The sequence below is a fragment of the Homo sapiens genome, chromosome 11 (assembly GCF_000001405.40).
Source record: "Homo sapiens chromosome 11, GRCh38.p14 Primary Assembly".
Taxonomy (NCBI): Eukaryota; Metazoa; Chordata; class Mammalia; order Primates; family Hominidae; genus Homo; species Homo sapiens.
This window is the reverse complement of record NC_000011.10, coordinates 12,293,065-12,316,120: the sequence shown is the minus strand read 5'-3', so window position 1 is coordinate 12,316,120 and position 23,056 is coordinate 12,293,065. Positions and strand designations below refer to the sequence as shown.

At 36.8% G+C, this 23,056-nt stretch overlaps 1 protein-coding gene across 1 annotated transcript in view; it reads right to left on the bottom strand.

The window, feature by feature from the left end:
• The window catches only part of MICAL2 (microtubule associated monooxygenase, calponin and LIM domain containing 2), a 251,551-nt gene that overhangs the window by 46,020 nt on the left and 182,475 nt on the right, over nt 1-23,056 (bottom strand). The window contains exon 31 of the mRNA NM_001393937.1: nt 21,264-22,560. Coding sequence (NP_001380866.1) covers nt 21,264-22,560 — 1,297 coding nt within the window. The remainder of the gene's footprint in view (nt 1-21,263; nt 22,561-23,056) is intronic.

Genomic DNA, 23,056 nt, shown 5'->3' with positions numbered 1-23,056 from the left:
GAGTGTGATAACTCTAATCAATAAGAAAGATCATGTGGCTGTATCAAAGTAATTTGTGGACCAGGAATATTAACAAAGATAAAGAGGGACATTCCATAATAAAAGGTAAACCTATCAAGAAAATGAAACAATTTTAAATATGTGCACACTTGATTAAATTAAAGAAACAAAATACAGACGTGCTTGATTAATTAAATATTAATTAATTACAGAGCTCCAAAATACATGAAGCAAAAATTGACCAAACTGAAAAGAAAAATAGATAATTCAAAAATTATAGCTAAGGGGTATTAACCCTTTTCTCTTGGAAATTGATAGAATAAGTACACAAAAGTAAGAGTATGCGACTTGTACACGCTATTAAACAACTTGACCTATTTCACATCATAGAACACTTCACCAAACAGCAACAGATTATTTGAAAGCGCACAGGAAACATTTCCTAAGTTAGACGATATCCTTGGCTTTAAAACAATCTTGATAAAGTTCTAAGGAGATTGAAATAATGAAAACCATGTTCTCTGACCACAGGAGAATTAAAGTAGAAATTAGAAATTAATAACGGAAAGATACTCTGGAATATCCACAAAATATTTGAGAATTAAATAATACACTTTTAAATAACCCATAGGTCAAAAAAAGAAATCACAAAGAAAATTAAAACAATGTATTTTTGAGACAGAGTCTCACTCTGTCACCCAGACTACAAAGAAAATTAAAAGCAATTTGAATGGAATGAAAACACAACATATTAGAATTTGTAAGATTCAGCTAAAGCAGTGCCCAGAGGGAAATGTATGGCTTTACCTTGTTTATATTAGAACAGAAGAAAGGTTTAAAATCAATGATTTAAGCATACTGTAAGAAGCTAACAAATATGTATTAATTTCAAAGAAGTAAAAATAAGACTGACAATTGACTTTGAAGAGAAACAATGGAAGCTATGAACAATGGCATGATATCATTAAATGATGAAAGACAGTGCCTACTGTCAACTTGCAGTCTATATTCTAAAGAAATATCCTTTAAAAACAAAGGCAAAAGTGAAACGTTTTCAAACAAAACCTGGCAGAATTATCCTCAGCAGACTCACACTAAAAGGAATGCCACAGACAGTTCTCCAGGCAGAAGAAAACCAATCTAAGATGAAAGTATTGTGATGCAGAAAAAGATGAAGAACCACTAAAACAGAAAATGTGCATGAATCCATGCACATTCAGGACTGTTTCAAACCATAATTATAATATCTATGGGTTTAAAATATGTATTGATTTAAAATATATGACAGCAATCACACAAAAGTTGAAAGAAGATAAATGGAGTTTAAAGTTTTCTGGCCGGGCAAGGTGACTCAAATCTGTAATCCCAGCACTTTGGGAGGCCGAGGCAGGCAGATCACAAGGTCAGGAGATCGAGACCATCCTGGCTAACACGGTGAAACCCCGTCTCTACTAAAAATACAAAAAAAAAAAAAATTAGCTGGGCATGGTGGCGGGCGCCTGTAGTCCCAGCTACTCGGGAGGCTGAGGCAGGGGAATGGCGTGAACCCAGGAGACGGAACTTTCAGTGAGCCGAGATCGCGCCACTGCACTCCAGCCTGGGTGACAGAGCGAGACTCCATCTCAAAGAAAAAAAAAATAGAGTTTTCTAAAGTCTTAGGTTATCCAGAAGGAGATAAGAGAATTAATTTAATATAGATTCATTTTAGTTATCAATTAACATTATAGTCTCTTGGGTAACAGCCAAAATAATAATGAACAAACTATACATAATGACAAGCACTACATACTATGTATTACATAAATAATAAGTAAAAGAAGAAATTGAATTTTTAAATTCCGGATTAATTAAAAATAAAGCAAGAAAAGAGAAAAAATGAACAAGTCAGATGAGACAAATGAAAAACAAACAGTAAACGGATAGATTTAAACCCAAATATATCAGTAATTATGTTAACTGTAAGTAGACTAAATATTCAAAATAAAAGAGACCATCAAATTGGATTTTCAGAAACCCAAACTATAGGTTGCTTATAGGACAGACACTTTAAATATAATAATACAGTAACATTAAAGTAAAAGAAGGAAAACGGGATATCATGTGAAAAACAAACCAAAAGAAAGTTTGTATAGCTATCAAAAAAAAAAAAAAAAAAAAAATCAGACCAAGACATTAAGGCCAGAAATACAACAAAAATCAGGGACATTTAGTGATTATCAAAGCATCAATTCAAAAGTATACTATAACAATCAGAAATGTGTACATACCTAACAGCATAGCCTCAAACTATATAAAGCAAAAACTTACTTAACTAGAAAGAGAAATAGTCAAACCCCTCAACCATTGTTAGACATTTTAAACAAAGCTCTCTTAGCAAGTGACAGAAAAACCAGACAAAATAAAAAAAAATCAGCAAGGATATAGAAGATACAACTAAACACTATTAATAAATTTGACCTAATTGATAAGCAAATATAGAATATCACATCCAATAACTAGAGTATATTAATATCTATGTACATATACACATATATAAATTATTTGAAGTACATAAGAAACATTTATTAAATTGATGATATGTCAAGCTATAAAGCAAGTATCAACAAATCTCAAAGGACTTAAGTCACACACAGTATGTCTTTGGATAACAGTGGAATTAAGCTAGAAATCAATACAATCATGTAGAAATTGTAGGGTCTCAGAAGCAGCTTCCTCTGACCTTCTCCTGCTCTCCTGGCCTCTCATTCTCCCCCCGCGGTTATTCATAGAAACTAGACTCCCTCTTCCTCAAGGCAGGTCATAACAACCAGAACCCCTTTCCCTCAAAGCCAGACATAAAATCTAAAAATATTACTCTAACTTTCCACCTCCCTTTCTGTGTAAAAACTGTCCATAAAGAAATAATCTGACTTGTCTTGTTTGACTCTAGATCTTTTTTTTTTTTTTTTTTTTTGAGATGTAGTCTTGCTCTGTCGCCCAGGCTGGAGTGCAGTGGTGCTATCTCGGCTCACTGCAAGCTCCGCCTCTCCGGTTCACGCCATTCTCCTGCCTCAGCCTCCCCAGTAGCCGGGACTACAGGCGCCCGCCATGCCGCCCTGCTAATTTTTGTATTTTTTTTAGTAGAGACGGGGTTTCACCGTGTTAGTCAGAATGGTCTCGATCTCCTGACCTTGTGATCCGCCCATCTCGGCCTCCCAAAGTGCTGAGATTACAGGCGTGAGCCACAGCGCCCGGCCGACTCTAGATCTTAAGACTCCTATTCCAGAGACGATCCTGCCCCATACCCAAAATAAAGGAATGCTGTACAGAGAGGCCAAGAAAGATCTGAAGAGACAGGCCTTGCTGGGTTTCCCCAGTCTATTAGCATAAGATTTTACTCTTTTTGTCCAATTATATTTCTTCATGACAATCCATATTTTGTTGAACCTAAGCATAAAAATGAACAGTTTCCCTCTATCTTTGGATCTGAATTCTGAAGACTCCCATGTCACAAAAAACTATGATCAAATAAATTTGTATGCCTTTTCTCCTGTTAAACTGCCTTTTGTTGGTGATTTTCAGCAACCTTTCAGAGGGTGAGGGGGAAGTTTTCTCTTGGACTTGACAAAATTAAGTAATATTTTTCTAAACACGCTGTGGATCGAAGAAAAAATATAAATAAATTTAAACTGACTGATGATAAAAGTGTGTCATAACAGAATGACTGGGATGCAGTTAAAGTAGTAATTAGAGAGAAATTTAGAGCCTTACATAAAACGCACATCATGCAAAAAAAAAAAAAAGTTGAGAAATGTTGTTCTAAGATCCATTTCAAGAAGCTAGAAAAAGAACCACAATTGAACCTAAAGAATGTAAGAGGAAGCAAATAATCAAGATAAGAACAGATTATGAAAGACAATAAAGATAAAGCAGAAATAAAATTGAAAATCAACAAAGCGAAAATTTGACTCTAAAAATACAAAATTAAGAATGATTAAGCAAAAAATGGGCAGAAAACAAAAATTACCAATATTAGGGATGAGAAGTCCCATAGAGTATTATTAAAGGAAGTTATTATATGAACTATTATATAATAATAATTTTAAAAATTTGTTTTTATATAAACTATTATAATAAATTAAAAAACATAGGTTGAATAAATTCATTGGAAACACAATTTGCCAAAACAAACACAAGAAGAAATAGAAAATGTGATTAGTTCTCTATTAAAGGGACTAAATTTATAATTAAAAAACGTTCCACAAAAACAGTTCTAGGTTATATGACTTCATTTGTTTCCCAATGTTTAATAAAAATGTCACCAATATTAAAACAAAAAGCTCTTCCAGAGAACAGAAAAAGGACACTCTCAAGTTGTGTTATGAGACTAGCGTAAGCTTAATACCAAAACCTGATAAAGATATAAAGAAAAATTTGGCCAGGCATGGTGCCTCACACCTGTAATCCCAGCACCTTGGGAGGCCGAGGCAGGTGGATCAGGCCAAGGCAGTCAGAAGTTTGAGACCAGCCTGGCTAACACGGTGAAACGCTGTCTCTAAGAAAAATACAAAAATTAGCCGGTGTGGTGGCGTGTGCCAGCTACTCTGGAGGCTAAGGCAGGAGAATCTCTTCAACCCCAGAGGCAGAGGTTGCAGTGAGTCAAGATCGTGCCACTGCACTCCAGCCTGGGCAACAGAGCAAGACTCTGTCTCAAAATAAAATAAAATAAAATAAAATAAATAAGAAACCAACAACACCAACCAAAAAAAAAGAAAGAAAAATTTTAGGCCAACATCATTTATAAACATAGGTGTGAAACTCTGAAAAATAATTAGTAAATTCAATACAGTGATACATAAAAAGGTAGTACATTATGACCAAGCTGGGTTTATTTCAGGAACACAATAATGATTTAACATTCAAATATCTAAATAGTCCTAGCCAGAGCAGTTAGGCGAGAAAAAGAAATAAGTGGCATCCAAACTGGAAAAGAAGGAGTCAAATAATGCTTATTTGCAGATGACATGATTTTGTATTCAGAAAAACTGAAAGACTCCACACAAAAACCCTTTCAGAACTGATAAACTTAGTAAATTTGCAGGATACAAAATCAATATATAAAAATTGGTAGCATTTCTATACACTAAGAGCAATCAATCAAGATTCTTTTCTGAAAAAGAAATCAAGAAAGCAATCCCATTTATAATAGCTACAAACAAATAAAAAAAACCCTAGGAATAAATTTAACCAAAGAAGTGAAAGATCTCTACAAGAAAAACTATAAAACAATGATGAAAGAAATTGAAGAAGACACCCAAAACATGGAAAGAAGTCTCATCCTCATGAAATGGAAGAATATCGTTAAAATGTCTATACTACCCAAAGCCATCTACAGATTCAATGCAACCCCTATCAAAATACCAATGACATTCTTCACAGAAATAGAAAAAAAAAATCCTAAAATTTGTACAGAACCACGAAAGACCCCAAATAGCTAAAGTATTCCTGAGCAAAAAGAACAAACCTGGAGGCATCATATTCCTTGATTTCAAATTATATTACAAAGCTATAGTAACCAAAAGCATGATACTGGCATAAAAACAGATACATAGACCAATGGAACAGAATAGAGAACCCAGAAATAAGTCCACACACTTACAGTCAACTCATTTTAACAAAGGTGCCAAGAACATACATTGGGGAATGGATAGTTTCTTAAATAAATAGTGCTGGGAAAACTCAATATTCATGTGCAGAAGAATGAAACTAGATTCCATCGTTCACCATACACAAAAATAAACTCAAAGTGAATTAAAGACTTGAATTTAAGGCCTGAAACTATGAAGCTACTAGACAAAAACACTGGAGAAGCGCTATAGGACATTGGTCTGGGCAAAGATTTTTCTGGGAAGGACCTCAAAAGCACAGCTAACAAAAGCAAAAACAGGCTATTGAGATTATTCAAGCAAAAGAGCCTATGTACAGCAAAGGAAACAATTAACAAAATGACGACACAACCTAAAGAATGAGAGAGAATGTTTGCAGAGTATCCATCTGAAAAGGGATTAATAACCAGAATATATAAGAAACTCAAATAACTCAGTACAAAAAACCAAATAATTCAAATAAAAAATGCAAAAGGCCTGAATAGATATTTATTAAAAGAAGACATACAAGTGGCCAACAAGTGTATGAAAAAATACTCAGCATCACTAATCATCAGGGAAATGCAAATCCGAACCACAATGAGATATCATCTCACCCCAGTTAGAATGGCTATTATCAAAAAGACCAAAAAATCAAAAATGCTGGCAAGGATGTGGAGAAAGGGGAACATTTACTTATACACTGTTGGTGGGAATATAAAGTAGTAAAACCATTATGACAAACAGTATGGCGGTTTCTCAAAAAACTAAAAACAGAATTACCATATGATCTAGCAGGCCTACTGCTGAGTATATAACGCAAAGAAAGGAAAACAGTATATTGAAGAGACACCTACATTCCCACATTTATTGCAGCAGAATAGCCAAGATACAGCATCAGCCTAAGTGTCCATAAACAGATGAATGAATAAAGAAAATGTGGTATATATATACACAATGGAATATTATTCAGCCATAAAAAATAAAATCTTGTCATTTGCCTCAACATGGATGAAACTGAAGGTCATTATGTTAAGTGAAATAAACCAGGCACAGAAAGACAAATATCACATATTATCACTTACACAGGAGCTAAAAATGAAAAAGTGGATCTCATGGAGATAGAGTAGAATGGTGGTTACCACGGAAGCAGAAGTGGGGAGGGAAGGCTAAAGGGAAGCTGGGTAATGGGTACAAAATACAATTAGTAGAAGAAATAAGTTATAATGTTTGATAGTACAATAGGAAAATTATAGGTAACAATGATTTATAGTAAATTTCAAAATAGCTAGAAGAGAAGAATTGTAAGTTTCCTAAGACAAAGAAGAGATGAATGTTTGAAGTAAATTGATGTTTCAATTACTGATTGATCATGACACATTACATATATGCATCAAAATATCACATGTATCCAAAACACAAATAAAACTATGATTTATCAAGTAAAAAATACAAAAAAGTTACATATAAAATTATGTCATTTAGCACATGTTGACTAAAGTAACAAAAGCATATGATTATCCAACAGATGCAGAAAAAGCATTTGCTTACATTTATCATTACTCGTGATTAAAACTCATAGCAAGCTAGGAATGGAAGGAAATTTTGTTGATCTAATAAAGGACTGACAAAAGAAATCTGCAGCAAACATTATACTCAATGGTGAAATACAATCTCTCTCATATTGGGAAAGAGACAATGGTGTACACTATCACCACTTCTATTCAGCTCTGTATAGGAGGTCCTAGGCAGTGCAATAAGGCAAGAGAATGGAAAAAAAGGTATACAAACTGGAAAGGAAGATGTCAGTCTGTCTTTATTGGCAGACAACATGATTGTCTTGCTAAAATTCTATTTAAAAGCTATTACAATAATAAGTGAGTTTAGTAAGGTCAATATAAAGTTAATTTGCTTCTACATATTAATGAGGAACAATTTAAAAGCAAAATTAAGGAAGCAATTTTATTTACAATGGCAACAAAAACATGAAATAGTTAAAAGATAAATTTAATATGTGTGAAAAATCCACACACTGAAAACTAAAAAAACCATTCTAAATTAAAGTGAAAGAAACTTAAATAAATTGAGAGATACACCATTTTCATGGATTGAAAGACCAAACAGGTGTCAGTTTATCCCAAACTGATCTATAGATAACAAGCAAAATTCCAGTAGGCTTCTTTGGTAGAAACTGATAAGCTAATTCTAAAATTCATATGAAAACACAAAAGACCTAGAACAGCCATATTAATTTTTAAGAAAAACAAAGTTGTAAGACTTTCCCTACCTGTTTTCAAGACTTATTCTAGCTGGGCTTGGTGGCTCACACCTATAATCCCAGCACTTTGGGAAGCCAAGGCAGGAGGATCACTTGAGCTCAAGAGTTCAAGACTAGCCTGGACAACATAGTGAGACCTTGTCTCTATTAAAAAAAAATTGTTTTTTAATTAGCCAGGCATGCTGGTGTGTGCCTGCAGTCCCAGCTACTCAGAAGGCTGAGGCAGAAGGATCACTTGAGCCCAGGAGTTGGAGGCTGTAGTGAGCTATGATTAAGCCACTGCACTCCAGCTTGGGCAACAGAGTGAGGCTCTGTTTCAAAGACAAGACAAGAAAAAGAAAGGCTTACTCTAAAGCTGCAATAATCAAGAAAGTGTGCTTTTAGTGTAAAGATGATTGTATAGATCAATGGAGCAGATTAGAGAGTACAGAGATAGACCTACACATATATGGTCAATTGATTATATACAAAGGTGTCAAAGTAACTCAATGGGGAAAGAACAGTCTTTAAAACAAGTGGTACCGAAGCAATTAGATACCTCTGGGCAAACAACAACAACAACAAAACCCATGACTTACATTCACTATAAAAAATTAACTAGAATCTTGCATTCATTGCAATGTAAAAAAATTATCTAGAATCAGATTAAAGGCTGAAGCCGAAAATCTAGAAACTATAAAACTTTTGGGAGAAAACATATGAGGAATTCTTAGTGACTTCGAGTTTAGCAAAGATATCTTAACTATAACTCAAATTATAAAAGAAAAAATCAATAAATTTGACTTCATCGTATTAAAAAGTTCTGCTCTTTGAAAGATACTGTAATGAAAATGAAACAACAATCCACTGACTAGGAAAGAATGTTGCAAACATATATCTGATAAAGGATTTATTTATATGCAGAACTCTTAAAACTCAAAACTAAGAAACAACACAATTTAAAAATGGGCAAAAGATTTGAAAGCTACTTTACCAAAAAATATACAAATAAAAAATTCATACATTAAAAGAAGCTCAACATCATTAGTCACTAGGGAAATGCAAATTAAAATTGCAATGAGATACTACCATAGGCATTAGGATGGCTAGAATTTGAGTCTGACAATGTCAAGTGTTAGCATGGATGTACAGTAACCGAAACTCTTGTGCATGGTTGTATGGCATGTCACTTTGGAAAATAATTTGACAAGTTTAAAAATAAAACTCAACATGCACTTGCCAAATGACCAAACAACCCCATAGCTAGGAACTTGGCTAAGGCAAATGGAAACATGTCTCTACACAGAGACCTGTACATTAATGTTCATAGAAGCTTTATTCGCATTCAAAAACTAAACCCCATCTCATGTCTATCAACTGGTAAATGGATAAACAAATGTTGGTGCATCCATACAATGAAATTCTACTAGCAATAAAAAGGAATGGATTACTGAAATGTGCAACAACATGCATAAATCTCAAAAGCATTACGCTAAGTGAAAGAAGCCAGACACAAAAGACAACATGCTGTATGATTCCATTTATATGACATTCTAGGAAAGGCGACACTATTGAGACAGAAAACAAATCAGTGTTTTCCAGGGACTGGGAATATGGAAAAGGGATTAATTCTAAAGAGTCATGAGAAGACCATTTAGGATGGTGAAAATATCTCTATTTTGATTTTGGAAGCAGTTCCATTACTATATACAATTGTAAAAACACATGGAACTGCACATTTTAAAAGGGTAAATTTTATTGCATGTAAATTATACCTCAATAAAAAATTAGAGTTTGGTAGAGTAGATGAATTCAATTGTTTTTCTACCTAAATGACCATATAGTCAATCACAGAACCGACAGATAAATCACTGTATATTCCCACAATGAAATATAGTGTACCAGAAGAATAATGCAACCACAAGAAACAATGAGGATAAATCTCAAAAAAAAAATGTTGAAAGAAAAGGTTACATTTACCTAATGAATACTGTTAGAAATCAGTGGTTATCTTTGTGGTAGATGGTAGCCATGTGGGATTAGTGACTGAAAGAAACAGAGGACTTTTGGGGTTCTGGTAATGTTACGTCTTCATCTAACTCCTATTACATGTATGTGTTCAATGTGTGAAAAGCTCTATACTTACGAGTATTTTTCTTTTGTGTATTATAAGCAAGAAAAATGACTATCTAGAAATAAACCTTCAGAAATGCAAAATACCTTTATCAACAATACTGTAAAATGTAAATAATTTTTAAAAATCTGACTAAATAGAGGGCTATAAGGTGTTCTTAGATGGAAGACTCAATATTCTAAAGCTATCAAACGTCTTTAATCAATTAAAAACCATATCATTTGAATCCGCATTTAAAAAACCCCACATGCCTGGGAAAATATCTAATGAAAATTGTACAAGGTCTCTACAACTAGAAAACATTAAGAAAAATTGAAGACCTCAATAAATTCAGGGATGTATCACGTCCATGGATTTGAAGACTCGCTACAGTAGTACCCCATGTTCACAGTTTCACTTGCCTCAGTTTCAGTTATCCACAGTTGACTGTGGTAAAAAAATAGGTGAGTACACTACAGTAAGATATTTTGTGAGAGCTAGGTCACAGGCACACAACTTTTATTACAGTATATTGTTATAATGATTCTATCATTAGTTGTTAATTTCTTACTGTGGTAATTTATAAGTTAAATTTTATCATAGGTATGTATGTACAGTAAAAAAATGTAGTAGTAAATACAATGATATGGTTCGGCTATGTGTTCCCACCCAAATCTCATCTCCAATTCTAATCTCCAAGTGTCAGAGGAAGGACCTGTAATCCCATATTGAGAGAGGGAAGTGATTGGATTTTGGGGGTGGTCTCCCCCATGCTGTTCTCATGATAGTGAATTCTCACGAGATATGATGGTTATATAAGGGGGTCTTCCCGCTTTGCTTCTCGCACATGCTTTCTCTTGCCCGCCACCATGTAAGATGCGCCTGCCTCCCCTTCTGCCACAATTGTAAGTTTCCTAAGGCCTTCCCAGCCATGTGGAACTGCGAGTCAATTAAACCTTTTTCCTTTATAAGTTACCCAGTCTTGGGTAGTATATTTATAGCAGTGTGAGAATGCACTAATACAGTATTATCCATGGTTTCAGGTATCCACTGGGGGTCTTGGAACGTACCCCCTGTGGATAAGGGGGACACTACTGTATTGCAAAGACGTTAATTCTCCCCAAATTTATCTATAGATTCAATACAATCCCATTCAAATTCCCAGCAAATGTTGTAGAAATTGATGAATTCATTCCATAAGTCACATGGCAATGCAAAGGCCAAGAATACTAAGACAATGTTGAAGAAGAACAAAGTGAAGGATTTACTCTAGACTATGACGATTTATTATAAAACCACATAATGAAAACAGTGTGATTCAGGAACAAGGTCAGACAAACCAGCCAGTGAAACAGAAGAGAAGGACCCAAAACAGACTGCCTAATTTATAACAAAACTGTCACTGTAATACAGTGGGAGGAGAAGAATGTTTTGTGTGTGTGTGTGTGTGTGTGTGTGTGTGTGTGTGTGTGTGTGTGTGTGTGTGTGTTTGAGACAGAGTTTCGCTCTTGTTGCCCATGCTGGAGTGCAATGGCACGATCTCAGCTCACTGCAACCTCAGTCTCCCAAGTTCAAGCAATTCTCTTGCCTCAGCCTCCCAAGTAGCTGGGATTACAGGCATGCGCCACCACGCCCGGCTAATTTTTTTTTGTATTTTTAGTAGAGATGGGATTTCTCCATGTTGGTCAGGCTGGTCTCAAACTGCCCACCTCAGGTGATCTGCCCGCCTCAGCCTCCCAAAGTGCTGGGATTATAGGTGTAAGCCACCGTGCCTGGCTGAAGAATGGCCTTTTTAATAAATGCTGCTTAATTGATTGGATAACAACATGGAAGAAAGTAAACCTTCACCTTACCTCACAGAATACCCAAAAATCTATCCCAGTTTCATCATAGATATGACTGTGAAAGGAAAAATAATAAGGCTTCTGTAACAGTGTTGTCCAATAGAAATATAATACAAGCCATGCATGTAATTAAAAATTTTCTAATAGCCACATAAAAAATGTTTTAAAAATAAAATTAATTTTAATATATTTTATTTACCACCAATTTCAAAAATCATATCATTTCAACTTTTTATTTATTTGTTTATTTGTTTGTGACCAGTATTGGTCTCTTGCCCAGGCTGGAGTGCAGTGGTGCAATCGTGGCTCACTGAACCTCGACCTCCTGGTCTTAAGTGATCCTCACACCTGCTGAGTAGGTGGGACTATGAGCATGTGTCAACATCTCTGGCCAATTTTTTTAGTTTCTATAGAGACAGGGTCTCCTTATGTTGCCCAGGCTGGTCTTGAACTCCTGGACTCAAGCAATCCTCTTCCTCAGCCTCTCAAAGTTCTTATATCTAACAAAGGACTTATATCCAGAATCTATACAGATTACAAATCAATGACAAAAGGGCTAATAATACAATAAAAGTATGGGCAAAAGACTTCAACAGAGACTTCTGACAGAAGAATATCTAAATAAGCATGTGAAAAGTTATGCAACATCATTTGGCATGAGCCACTGCACTGAGCCAAGAATTATTAATGAGATGTTTTACATTATTTCATTCATACTAAGTCTTCAGAATCTGATGCATATTTTACACATATAGTATGTCTCTGTTCAGATGATACATTTTTAATGGTTAAAGTGAAATGTAACCCTATCAAATAAAGTTGTGTTTAATAGAAAACCATTTTACACTGCTTCAGTTTTTAAATTTAAATTAATTAAAATTTTAAAAATTAAAAATTCAGTTCCTCATTCACACTAGCTACATCTCAAGTATGAAACAGTGGCTACTGTATTTGGACAGCACAGTTCTAGAAGGTAAGCGAGAACATCTACATGACCTTGGAGTAGGGAAAGATTTCATAAACAGGATGCAAACGTCAACAGCAATAAAGGAAAGTGATATTGTTTGGCTCCATGTCCCCACCCAAATCTCACCTTGAACTGTAATCCCCATAATCCCCATGTATCAAGGGTGGGACCTGGTGGAGGTAATTGAATCATGGAGGCAGTTTCCTTCATGCTGTTTTTGTGATAGTGAGTGAGTCTCACAGACCTGATGGTTTTATAAGCGTCCGGCATTTCCCCTACTTGCACTCACTCTGTCCTGCTGCCCTGTGAAGAGGTGCTTTCCACCACGATTGTAAATTTCCTGGGGCCTCCCTGGCAATGTGGAACTGTGATTCGATTAAATCGCTTTCCTTTATAAATTATGCAGTCTCAGGTATTTCTTCATAGCAGTGTGAGAACTAATACAGAAAGTATTGATAAATTTGGCTTTATTAAAATAAATACTTCTGGCCAGGTGCAGTGGCATCTTCCTGTAATCCCTGCTAACTTGGGAGGCTGAAGTGGGAAGATCGCTTGAAGTCAAAAGTTTGAGGCTTCTGTACTTTATGATTGTGCCACTGCATTCCCAGGCTTTTATTAGAGACACTGTCTCTTAAAAAAAAAAGGTACTTCTGTTTATCCAAAGACATCATTAGAGAGTGAAAAAGGGAGCAAAAGAGTAGGAGAAGACAACACAATAAAAGTATGGGCAAAAGACTTCAACAGAGACTTCATACAGAAGAATATCTAAATAAGCATGTGAAAAGTTATGCAAAATCATTATCAGGCAAATGCAAATTAAAACCATAATGAGACACCACTGTACACCTGTAAAAATAGCAACATCAACAAAACAAAACAAAGCTGAGACTATCAAGTGTTGGCAAGGATGTGGAGCAAGGGGAGCTCTCATTCCCTGCTGAGAGTATATACATTGGTACAACCACTTTGCAAAACTGTTTGATAGTATCTACTAAAACTATCATACATACCTACCCTATGACCTAGCAATTCCACCCCAGGTATATGCTAATGTTCTTTTCTTAACCAAACCCGAGCCAGGCTCCTCTGAATCCTCTTCTTAACTAGGCCTCACCTTGGCCTATGAAAAGAACAGACTCGCGACATAAGTGATTTTGTCCATCCCTTTTCTCTCCACATTAAAAGGCTTAAACAAACACTAACATAGTCTCTGAAAGCTCAGGACCCAATCACTAAGATGGCCATAGCCTCCCTTAAAGTTCCTGCCTAAGAAAACTCAAGGTTGCCAGAATAATGGACTGCTTGTTTTAGCCGACACGGGATGACAGGCACCACTGTCACTTGTTCTCAGAACATTTATTAAAAAGAGCTTACAACATGAATCCTTTCTCTGTCCGTTTGAGACATATGTGTATCTCCTACAACTCAGGAGTGTCTTTCTCAAGGACCTGATAAGCCATTCCTTTGAAATGGAATCATCGGAAGGATAGGGCCACTGTCTCCCAGTCTCTGTGGAAAGACAGAATTCTGACTTTGTTAACTGCCAGCTAACAGATGCAGCTGGACTAACCTGCATGGACACTGACCAGCCCTTTGTGATTTTTCACTTCCCTGACTCTACTGAGCCCCAGCCTGACCACCTCCCTATGCCCTCCTTCTCCCTGTAAAACACTCAGTCACTTCTGTAGAAATTGAAGTTGAGCTCAGTTTACACTGGAACCTCTATCTTATTGCAATAGCATGTTACTGATTAAAATCTGCCCTTACTGTTTTAACTAGTGTCCAGCTTTATTTATCTTTAGCAATACTCAACAGACACAAGCACATATGTACACCAAAAATACGTACGTATAAGAGTGCTCCTAACAGCACTATTCACAATCAGAACAACTGAAAACAACCTCAATGCCCAAAAACAGAAGGCACGAATAAATTATGATATAGTCATACAATGGAATAAAATGGAGCAATGGAAAAGAACAAACCACTTCTGCACATAACATGGATAAATCCCCTCCAAAGAATGTGATATGGTTTGGCTGTGTACCCACCCAAATCTCAACTTGAATTGTATCTCCCAGAATTCCCATGTGTTGTGGGAAGGACCCAGGGATGGGTAATTGAATCATGGGGGCTGGTCTTTCCTGTGCTAGTCTCGTGATAGTGAAAAAGTCTCATGAGATCTGATGGTTTTATTAGGGGTTTACTCTTTCACATCTTCCTCATTTTCTCTTGCCACTGCCATGTAAGAAGTGCCTTTTGCCTCCCGCCATGATTCTGAGGCCTCCCCAGCCATGTGGAACTGTTAAGTCCAATTAAACCTCATTTTCTTCCCAGTCTCGAGTATGTCTTTATCAGCAGTGTGAAAACGGACTAATACAGAATGTTTAATGAAAGAAGCCAGGCACAAAAGAGTATATACTTGTATGGGTTTTTCTATTGTTGTGGAACCAATTCCCACAAGTTTGGAGGTTTACAACAACACCCTTTTATTATCTTACAGTTCTGTAGGTTGGAAGTCCAGGCATGGCTCAATGGGGCCCTTTGCTCAGGGTCTTATAAGGCTGCAATTAAAGTGTCAGCTGGGCTGCAGGTCTCATCTATAGCTCAGGGTTCTCTTCCAAGCACATTCAGTTTGTTGGCAGAATTCACTTCCTAGTGGTTAGAGGGCATAGGGTCTGTTTTCTTGCTGCTTGTCAGCTGGAGGTCAATCTCAGCTCCTAGAGGCCTCTTGTTCATGGGCCCTCCCACACCACAGCAAATTTACTACTTCTTCAAGCCCAGGAGGACCATGTCTCTCTCAAGCTATGAATCCAGTCTCTGACTTCAGGAAGTCCTTGTTAAGGGCTCATCTGATTGAGTTAGGCCCACCCAGGACAATCTCTCTTTTGATTAACTCAAAGTGAATTGTTTTGGGGCTTAACTATATTTGCACAATCCCCTAACTTAATCATGGGATGAAATGAAATCCATCATATTTATGTTCCCACCGTATTCCAGAGGACTAGATTCTTTTTTTTTGAGATGGAGTTTTGCTCTTGTCGCCCAGGCTGGAGGGCAATGATGTGATCTCAGCTCACTGCAAACTGTGCCTCCTGGGTTCAATCAATTCTCCTGCCTCAACCACCCAAGTAGCTGGGATTACAGCACCTGCCACCATGCCCAGATAATTTTTGTATTTTTAGTAGAGACGTGGTTTTGCCATGTTGGCCAGGCTGGTTTTGAATTCCTGACCTCAGGTAATCCACCCGCCTCTGCTTCCCAAAGTGCTGGGATTACATTTGTGAGCCACCATGCCCAGTCTAGAGGACTAGATTCTACACAGCAAGCACGCTAGGGAGCAGGAAGCATGGGGTCCTTTTAGAATTCTGCCTACCACAATAATGAATGATTCAATTTTTATAAAGTAAAACCAAATAAAATAAAAACTGCAAGAGTAATCTAAGATGATAAGAGGCAGATGAGAAGTACCTTTGTTGGGCAGGGCATATAATGGGGAGAAAGCATGAGGGAGTCTTCTGGGTGCTGATAACATTCTATAGCTTGATCTCAGGGGCGATTACACAAATGTGCATTTTGCAAAAATTCATCAGCTGTAGGCTTAACATTTGCGGATGTTACTGTATGTATGTAATACTGCAATAAAAACGTTTATGCAAAAAATTAAAGGTTCTCAGGGCATGTTCTTTAATTATACACAAGAATGATAACTAGCATTAAAATTGTTTCTATAAGATGACCACTGACAAGTACCTGAAATTAGTTTATGCCTCCAAGTCATTCAAATATGCTGATAAGTTTATGTACACCATTAATTTAATTGGAAAGTTGTCTTATAAAAATAAAAACAAATTAAATAATTTCAGCCTGGCTCTTATTCAAATGATCATAAATATTAGGTACTTCAATTTGAATGAGCATGATGCTGTTTTCTCTCTCCATTGCATGGAAGTGTGCACCCCCAAGTTAAATGCGGAGGCAACAGTGTCAGTGCATATATGTGAGTGTGTGTTTGGTGGACTGAGCAAGGAAACTAAAAAAAAAAGACTGATGGGTCTAATCTGATAGGCTAGGTAAAATCTTTACATTCTTAGGATACTGACCTAAGAACACTTGAAAGAAACACAAAACTCTTCTAAGAAATAGGTGCAGGCACTACTTCCAGTGCTAACTCTAACCTAATTCCATTCTGTACATTCCCATTCTGTTCCAAGGCAAGGAAGTCATACTATTTTCTGATGAATATAAATGAATGTAGCTCTCCATGCTAAGCAAGCCAGGAAAATATATTTACCCTAAGTTATTGTAATTAGCACATACAGAAATCATATAAAAGTGATATCAATGAACTGTAGGCCAATATTACCTATGAATTAAATGCAAAAATGTTAAATAAATTATCAAACATAATCAAAAAGTAATAAGACATCATGTAAAGTAATAAGACAAAGTAATAACACATCATGACCAAGTGGTATTTATCTCAGCAATGCAAGGATGGTTCAATACCCATAAATCTACGATATAATTCGTAATATTAATCAAATTAAGGAGAAAAAAATCAGACATCTCAAAAGATGCTGAAAAGACATTTGATGAAATTCAACATCCATCTGTGATTAAAAATACTCTCACCGAAATAGAACTAGATGGCTATTTCCTCCAAATGATAAAATATATCTCAGTCAACCCAGAAGCCAGTTACCATGCTTAACTGGGAAAAACACCAGCAGCATTCTCATTATGAGTAGGAATATATTAAGGAAATAATTATCTCTACTTTTATTTAACATTGTTCTGGAGATTCTAGAAACAAAAGAAACCAGGGAGACAAGATAAATCAGAGGTATACAATTTAAAAGCAAAAAGTAAAGTTATAATTTGCAGGTGTTATGATTGTATATATGGGGGGAACTCAGGGGAATCCATTGAAAAACTTTTATAACAAAGAGGAATTAATAAAATGGATGGGTACAAAATTACCACACAAAAATCAATAACTTTCATATATACAAACAACAGTAGAATGATAAACTGGAAAATATCTTGTTGACAATAGCAACAAAAACTAATATATCTATTAATAAAATTAATAATTATGCTAGATCTATGTGCTGTAAAGTGTAAAATATTCCTGAGGGTCACAAAAAAGACATGAACAAATGGAAAGATAACTCATATCATAATTTTATAAGTTCTTGCCAAGTTACTTATAAATTTAACTCAATCCCACGAGAGTATTCACAGGACTTTTTTTTTGGTAGATAGACAAGCTTATACTAAGTTCATATAGAACATCAAATGAGCAAGAAGAGCCAGGAAATTTTAGAAAAAGAAAATCAATAATGGAATACTCTTCCTATCAGATAGTAAAATACCTAAAATAAAAAAATATATAAATACATAAAATTAGAAATTTAAAACAGTGTGGTATTGATATATAACAGACAACTAAATGGAATATAATAGATGGTGTGGAAATAAGTCCAAGTTCAGGAATTTTATATATGATAAATACGTCATCTCACATAAGAGAGGGAAAGAGAGATTATTCACTGATTTTTTAGGATAGCCAGGGAAACATCTAAAAAGTAAGGCAGAATCTATAGCTCACATTTTATACTAGGATAATTTCTTGATGTAAATACTTAAATGTAAAAATATTGAAAACAATCAAGAAGACTAGAAGAAACTGTGAGAAAATTCTTCTACAAACTTGGAAGAAGCTCTTTCTAACTACTATATAAAACCCAGAAGACATGCAATAAAAATGTTTCAAACTAGTATATAAAGCTAGAAATTTTACATAAGAAAAGCCACTGTAAATAAAGTCAAGCACAAACAAGAAACTGGTAAAAAGTACTTGTAATTTGTATCATTACAAAAAAGGGTTAAATTTCCCTTTTGATAAAGAATCCCTACATACTATTAAGAAAAACCCAACAAACCAATAGAAAACTGGACAAAGGACAGTATCAACTGGTCACAGAAAAGGAGATGCAAATGGCTTCTCAACATATAAAAAGATGTTCAATCACGTTATTAAACAAAAAATGAAATTCACACCACTCCGAAATCTATATTTCACCATCAGATCAGTAACACACCAGTTAGTGCAAATGTAGAAATCGAGTTCTCATACTTTGCTGCTGGGAATGTGAACAAGCACACTGTGATGAAGGACAAGTTGACAATATCTATCAAAATTCCCAATTCACATATCCTTTGCTCCAGCATTTCCACTTCTAAGAATTTATCCTAAAGATAAATTCACGCACATGCTTAATGGCCTAAGCTATCAGTTAATTATTGTAGCACTGTTTGCAATAGCCAAAGATTTGAAATAACTTAAACTTTGCATCATAGGGGGCTGGCTACATCAATTATGTTACATCTACACACTGGGATACTGTACAGCTATAAAACAAAAGAAGAAAGTGCTTTACGTACTAATATGGAATGAGCTCCAAAATAAAATGAAAAGTTCAAAAAAAGTGCACACAGCATGCTGCCATGCTATCATTTGTGTTAAAAAAAGAAAAAATATAGTATATAAATTTGCTCTTACATGCATAAATTCTGTCTGCAGGAATGCCTAAGAAACTGATGACAATATCTATCACCAGGATAGGACCTGGATTGCTCAGGGACAAGGAAGGGAAAGAGGACTTTTTATTTTGCACCTTTTGTACCCTTTGATTTTGAACCATGCAAATGTATTATCAAAAAATGCATAACACATTAAATTTTGTGATGTGTGACATAATATACCCTTATGTCACACATCACAAAATTTAATGTGTTATGCATTTTAGTAGTTTATTAAATAATCTATTTAATTTATTAAACTAAAGTTTAATAGTTTATTAATTTATTATGCATGTTTAAGAGTTATACTGCAGCCTTTCCATGCTTATCCTGAACCTGGTTGAAAATAAAGTCTCTTGTTAATCTATACAGCTGTTTGATTAAGGTACTACTGAAGAGAAATAATATATTACTTGAAAACTTATGTTTCAAAATAGAAGTTAAATAAGAAAATAAAAAAGCTTTTTAGGAAAAAAGAAAAACAAAGTTGATCAACAATAGGGATGGTAGGATCACAGTTTGTTCAAAGCAGTCAAACAAGTATCAACGACAAAAAAGAACTCATGTGAATGTTTAGCTAAACTGTCTCTAAGGGAATAGACTAAAACTTTGGCAAGGAGGAGAGGGGATGAGATAATACATTTTAGTTTTTATTAGATATTTCCATATTGTTGGATTACTCTGATTATTTGATATATTAATTTTAGAATTTAAAAATTTTAATCAGGTTTAAATTATTTAAAAAGCCTACATTTTCATTGGTGGTATGCAAATATGCGTAAGTGTTTAGGCTAGGAGTTTAAAGGGAAAAACATTATATGCATAAAGATGTTCATTCAACACCGTATGTAAAATATAAATATATGCATATATAACATATATACAAATATAAGTTAACAATAAGACAATAGTTCATTAAATAACATACCCACCAGACAGGATATTCAATTAAATCACATTTATGTATACTACATGGTAATTGGCATAATATCTATGATATAATGTTGACTTTTAAATGATACAAAATTTTTGGCTAGGCATAGTGGCTCACACCTGTAATCCCAACACCTTGGGAAGTCAAGGTGAGAGGACTGCTTGAGGTCAGGAGTTTGAGACCAGCCTGGGCAACATATTGAGACTCCATCTCCACAAAAAATAAAAAATTAGCTGGGTGCTTCAGTCCAGGAGTTTGAGGCTACAATGAGCCATGATCAGGCCACTGCCTTCCAGCTTGGGGGACAGAGAAAGACCTGTCTCTCTAAAAAAAAAGAAAAAAAAAAAAAAAAGAGGCTGAGCATGGCGGCTCATGCCTGTAATCCCAACACTTTGGGAGGTTGAGATGGGTGGATCACCTGAGGCCAGGAGTTTAAGACCAGCCTGGCCAATGTGGTAAAACCCCATCTCTACTAAAAATACAAAAATTAGCTGGGCGTGGTGACACACATCTGTAATCCCAGCTACTTGGGAGGCTGAGGCATGAGTATCACTTGAACCCGAGAGACAGAGGTTGCAGTGAGCTGGGATCATGCCACTGCACTCCAGCCTGGGTGATAGAGTGAGACTCTGTCTCAAAAAAAAAAAAAGATACAAAATTTTATGTACAACTTAGTAAAAAATATTCCTATGGAAAGAAAGAAAATAAATGAGAAAGTGGTCGTAGGGTTATGGTTGATTGGTCTCTTTTCAACTTTCTATAATTTCAAAACTAATTTTTTCAGATTTTTTTCAAATTTTTTGCCTTTAAAGTTTTCCTACTTTTGTTAGTATTTGAGAAGCAAAACGAAGTGAAAGATGCCTGCTTGTCGATGCAATGAAGATTACTAACTGCCCAGCATGAAGGGCAGACATTTATCAGGACAGAGCCACTTACCTGCACCTCCCGCTGTAGGAGGAGGAGGAGGAGGAGGAGGAGGAGGAGGAGGAGGAGGAGCTGCCTGGCGCAGGGAGGTGCTTTTGAAAGGCTGCAGCAGCTTCTCCAGGGCCTGCGCACTATCTTCAGGCAGCACCTTCCTCTTGGGGCTGCCAAAGAGGTCCCTGATGTCCTTTCTTTGTCTGGATTCTTGGAGGAAACTCTCAAAAGATTTGTCTTTGAGTCTGAGGGAGGAAAAAAGTGAGATTCTTTTCTTTGGAGGCTTAGAAGCATCTGGGAAGTTCTCTTGCAAACTCACTTTCTCGAGGAGTGTGGGGACATCTTCAATCTTGCTGCAGGGTGGGGACCTAAGTGCAGGAAAGACCTTGGATGGCCGATTGGGCAAACTGTGGGTGCGGAGGGCAGGGTCAGGAGGGCTAAAGGCTGAGGACTGGTTTCTCCCAGGGGAATGCTGGTCCCCGTCTTTATTGGAATTGGTTTTCCGAAGGCTGAATGAGCGAGTGCAGGCCTGTGCGGGCAAAGTTTTGGATTCTTGCTTGGCCCAGGCCTTCTTCCCGCCTTCAGAGTTGGAAAGGAGGGGCTCTAGAGACCTTCGGATGGCATTGGCTATGAGCCGCAGTGGGGACTTGGGTGGAGGCACGTTTCGCTCCCCTTGAGCTTGTTCCGCAGGGGTCCCCATCTTCTCCTGGGCCCCTCTCTGGGTTGGCAGGGGCTCTCCTGCTGCCCTAGGGAGCAGCAGGGGGCGGACTGGTTTTAGCACACGGCCTCCTCTACCATTCTCAGCACTTTTCTGGGAAATTCGCTCCCCAGCTTTGAGGTGCACACTCTCAGGGATGGAGTCATTCCAATCCAACAACATGGTCTTCTGCTCCTGAGTGAGGACTAACTTCTTCAGGCCCAACTTCTCCTTTACCAGCACTGGCCCTCCCTCTTCTTCCTTCCTGGCTCCAGTACTCCCTTTTTCCCGGTCTTCTCCAGCCAAGGGAGATAGCTCTTGCCCTGTCCAGCTCCTGTCCTTCCCCCAGATGGGGTGTGGGTCTCTGTGGTTGCTTCCGATGTCCCCAAGAGGGGCCTCTGCTGGCTGGCACTCATCAGAAGTCATCTCTGCAGGGTCTGAGAGGCCATCTTCACCAGGGCTCACCAGGCAGTACTCTGCCCACTCTGGCTTTGGGTGATGAGGCAGATACAGGGGAATTTCCCTGGGTGCTCCTTGGGCTACGGCTCGCCTCCGAAAGTTTGGGGTGGGAGGACTTGGATGACCTCTCGAGACTTGCGAGAGGGGCTCAGAAGCTGTCATCTAGATGGGATGGGCAAAAATAGCAGTTATTTAAAAATTTTCATCATTTATTTATATGATGAAAGCAAATCTCAATCTACAACCCCCTCCCTGTTTTTTCTTCCCATCTCAGATGCCCAAATTAAAAAATAATTTTGCCTAAGATGATTTTAAAGGGATACTCTTTGTTCTAAGTAGCTGCCTTGGGTCCTGCCAGGATCTGCCTGGAACCCCCGAATCAGTACTGACGAAAGGCTTTTCTGAATCCCAGATTAGCTGGGTTGGAAGCCAGGGGGAAGGCAAAGGTAGGACACTGCTGTTGATAAGCTCCCGGGCCCATGATGGTAGGACTGGCTGGGCCTCTGTGGGTGGCCAGGCACATAGGGGAAGATAAGCTCTTCATTTTCTTGCTCAGCCATTGTCTGTACTAAAAGGCATGATCCACCCATAGGTATGTTCCTCCAACAACCAAGAAACCAAGGCTTCTTCCTTGGAGGCCATCAAAGTAAGAAGCGAC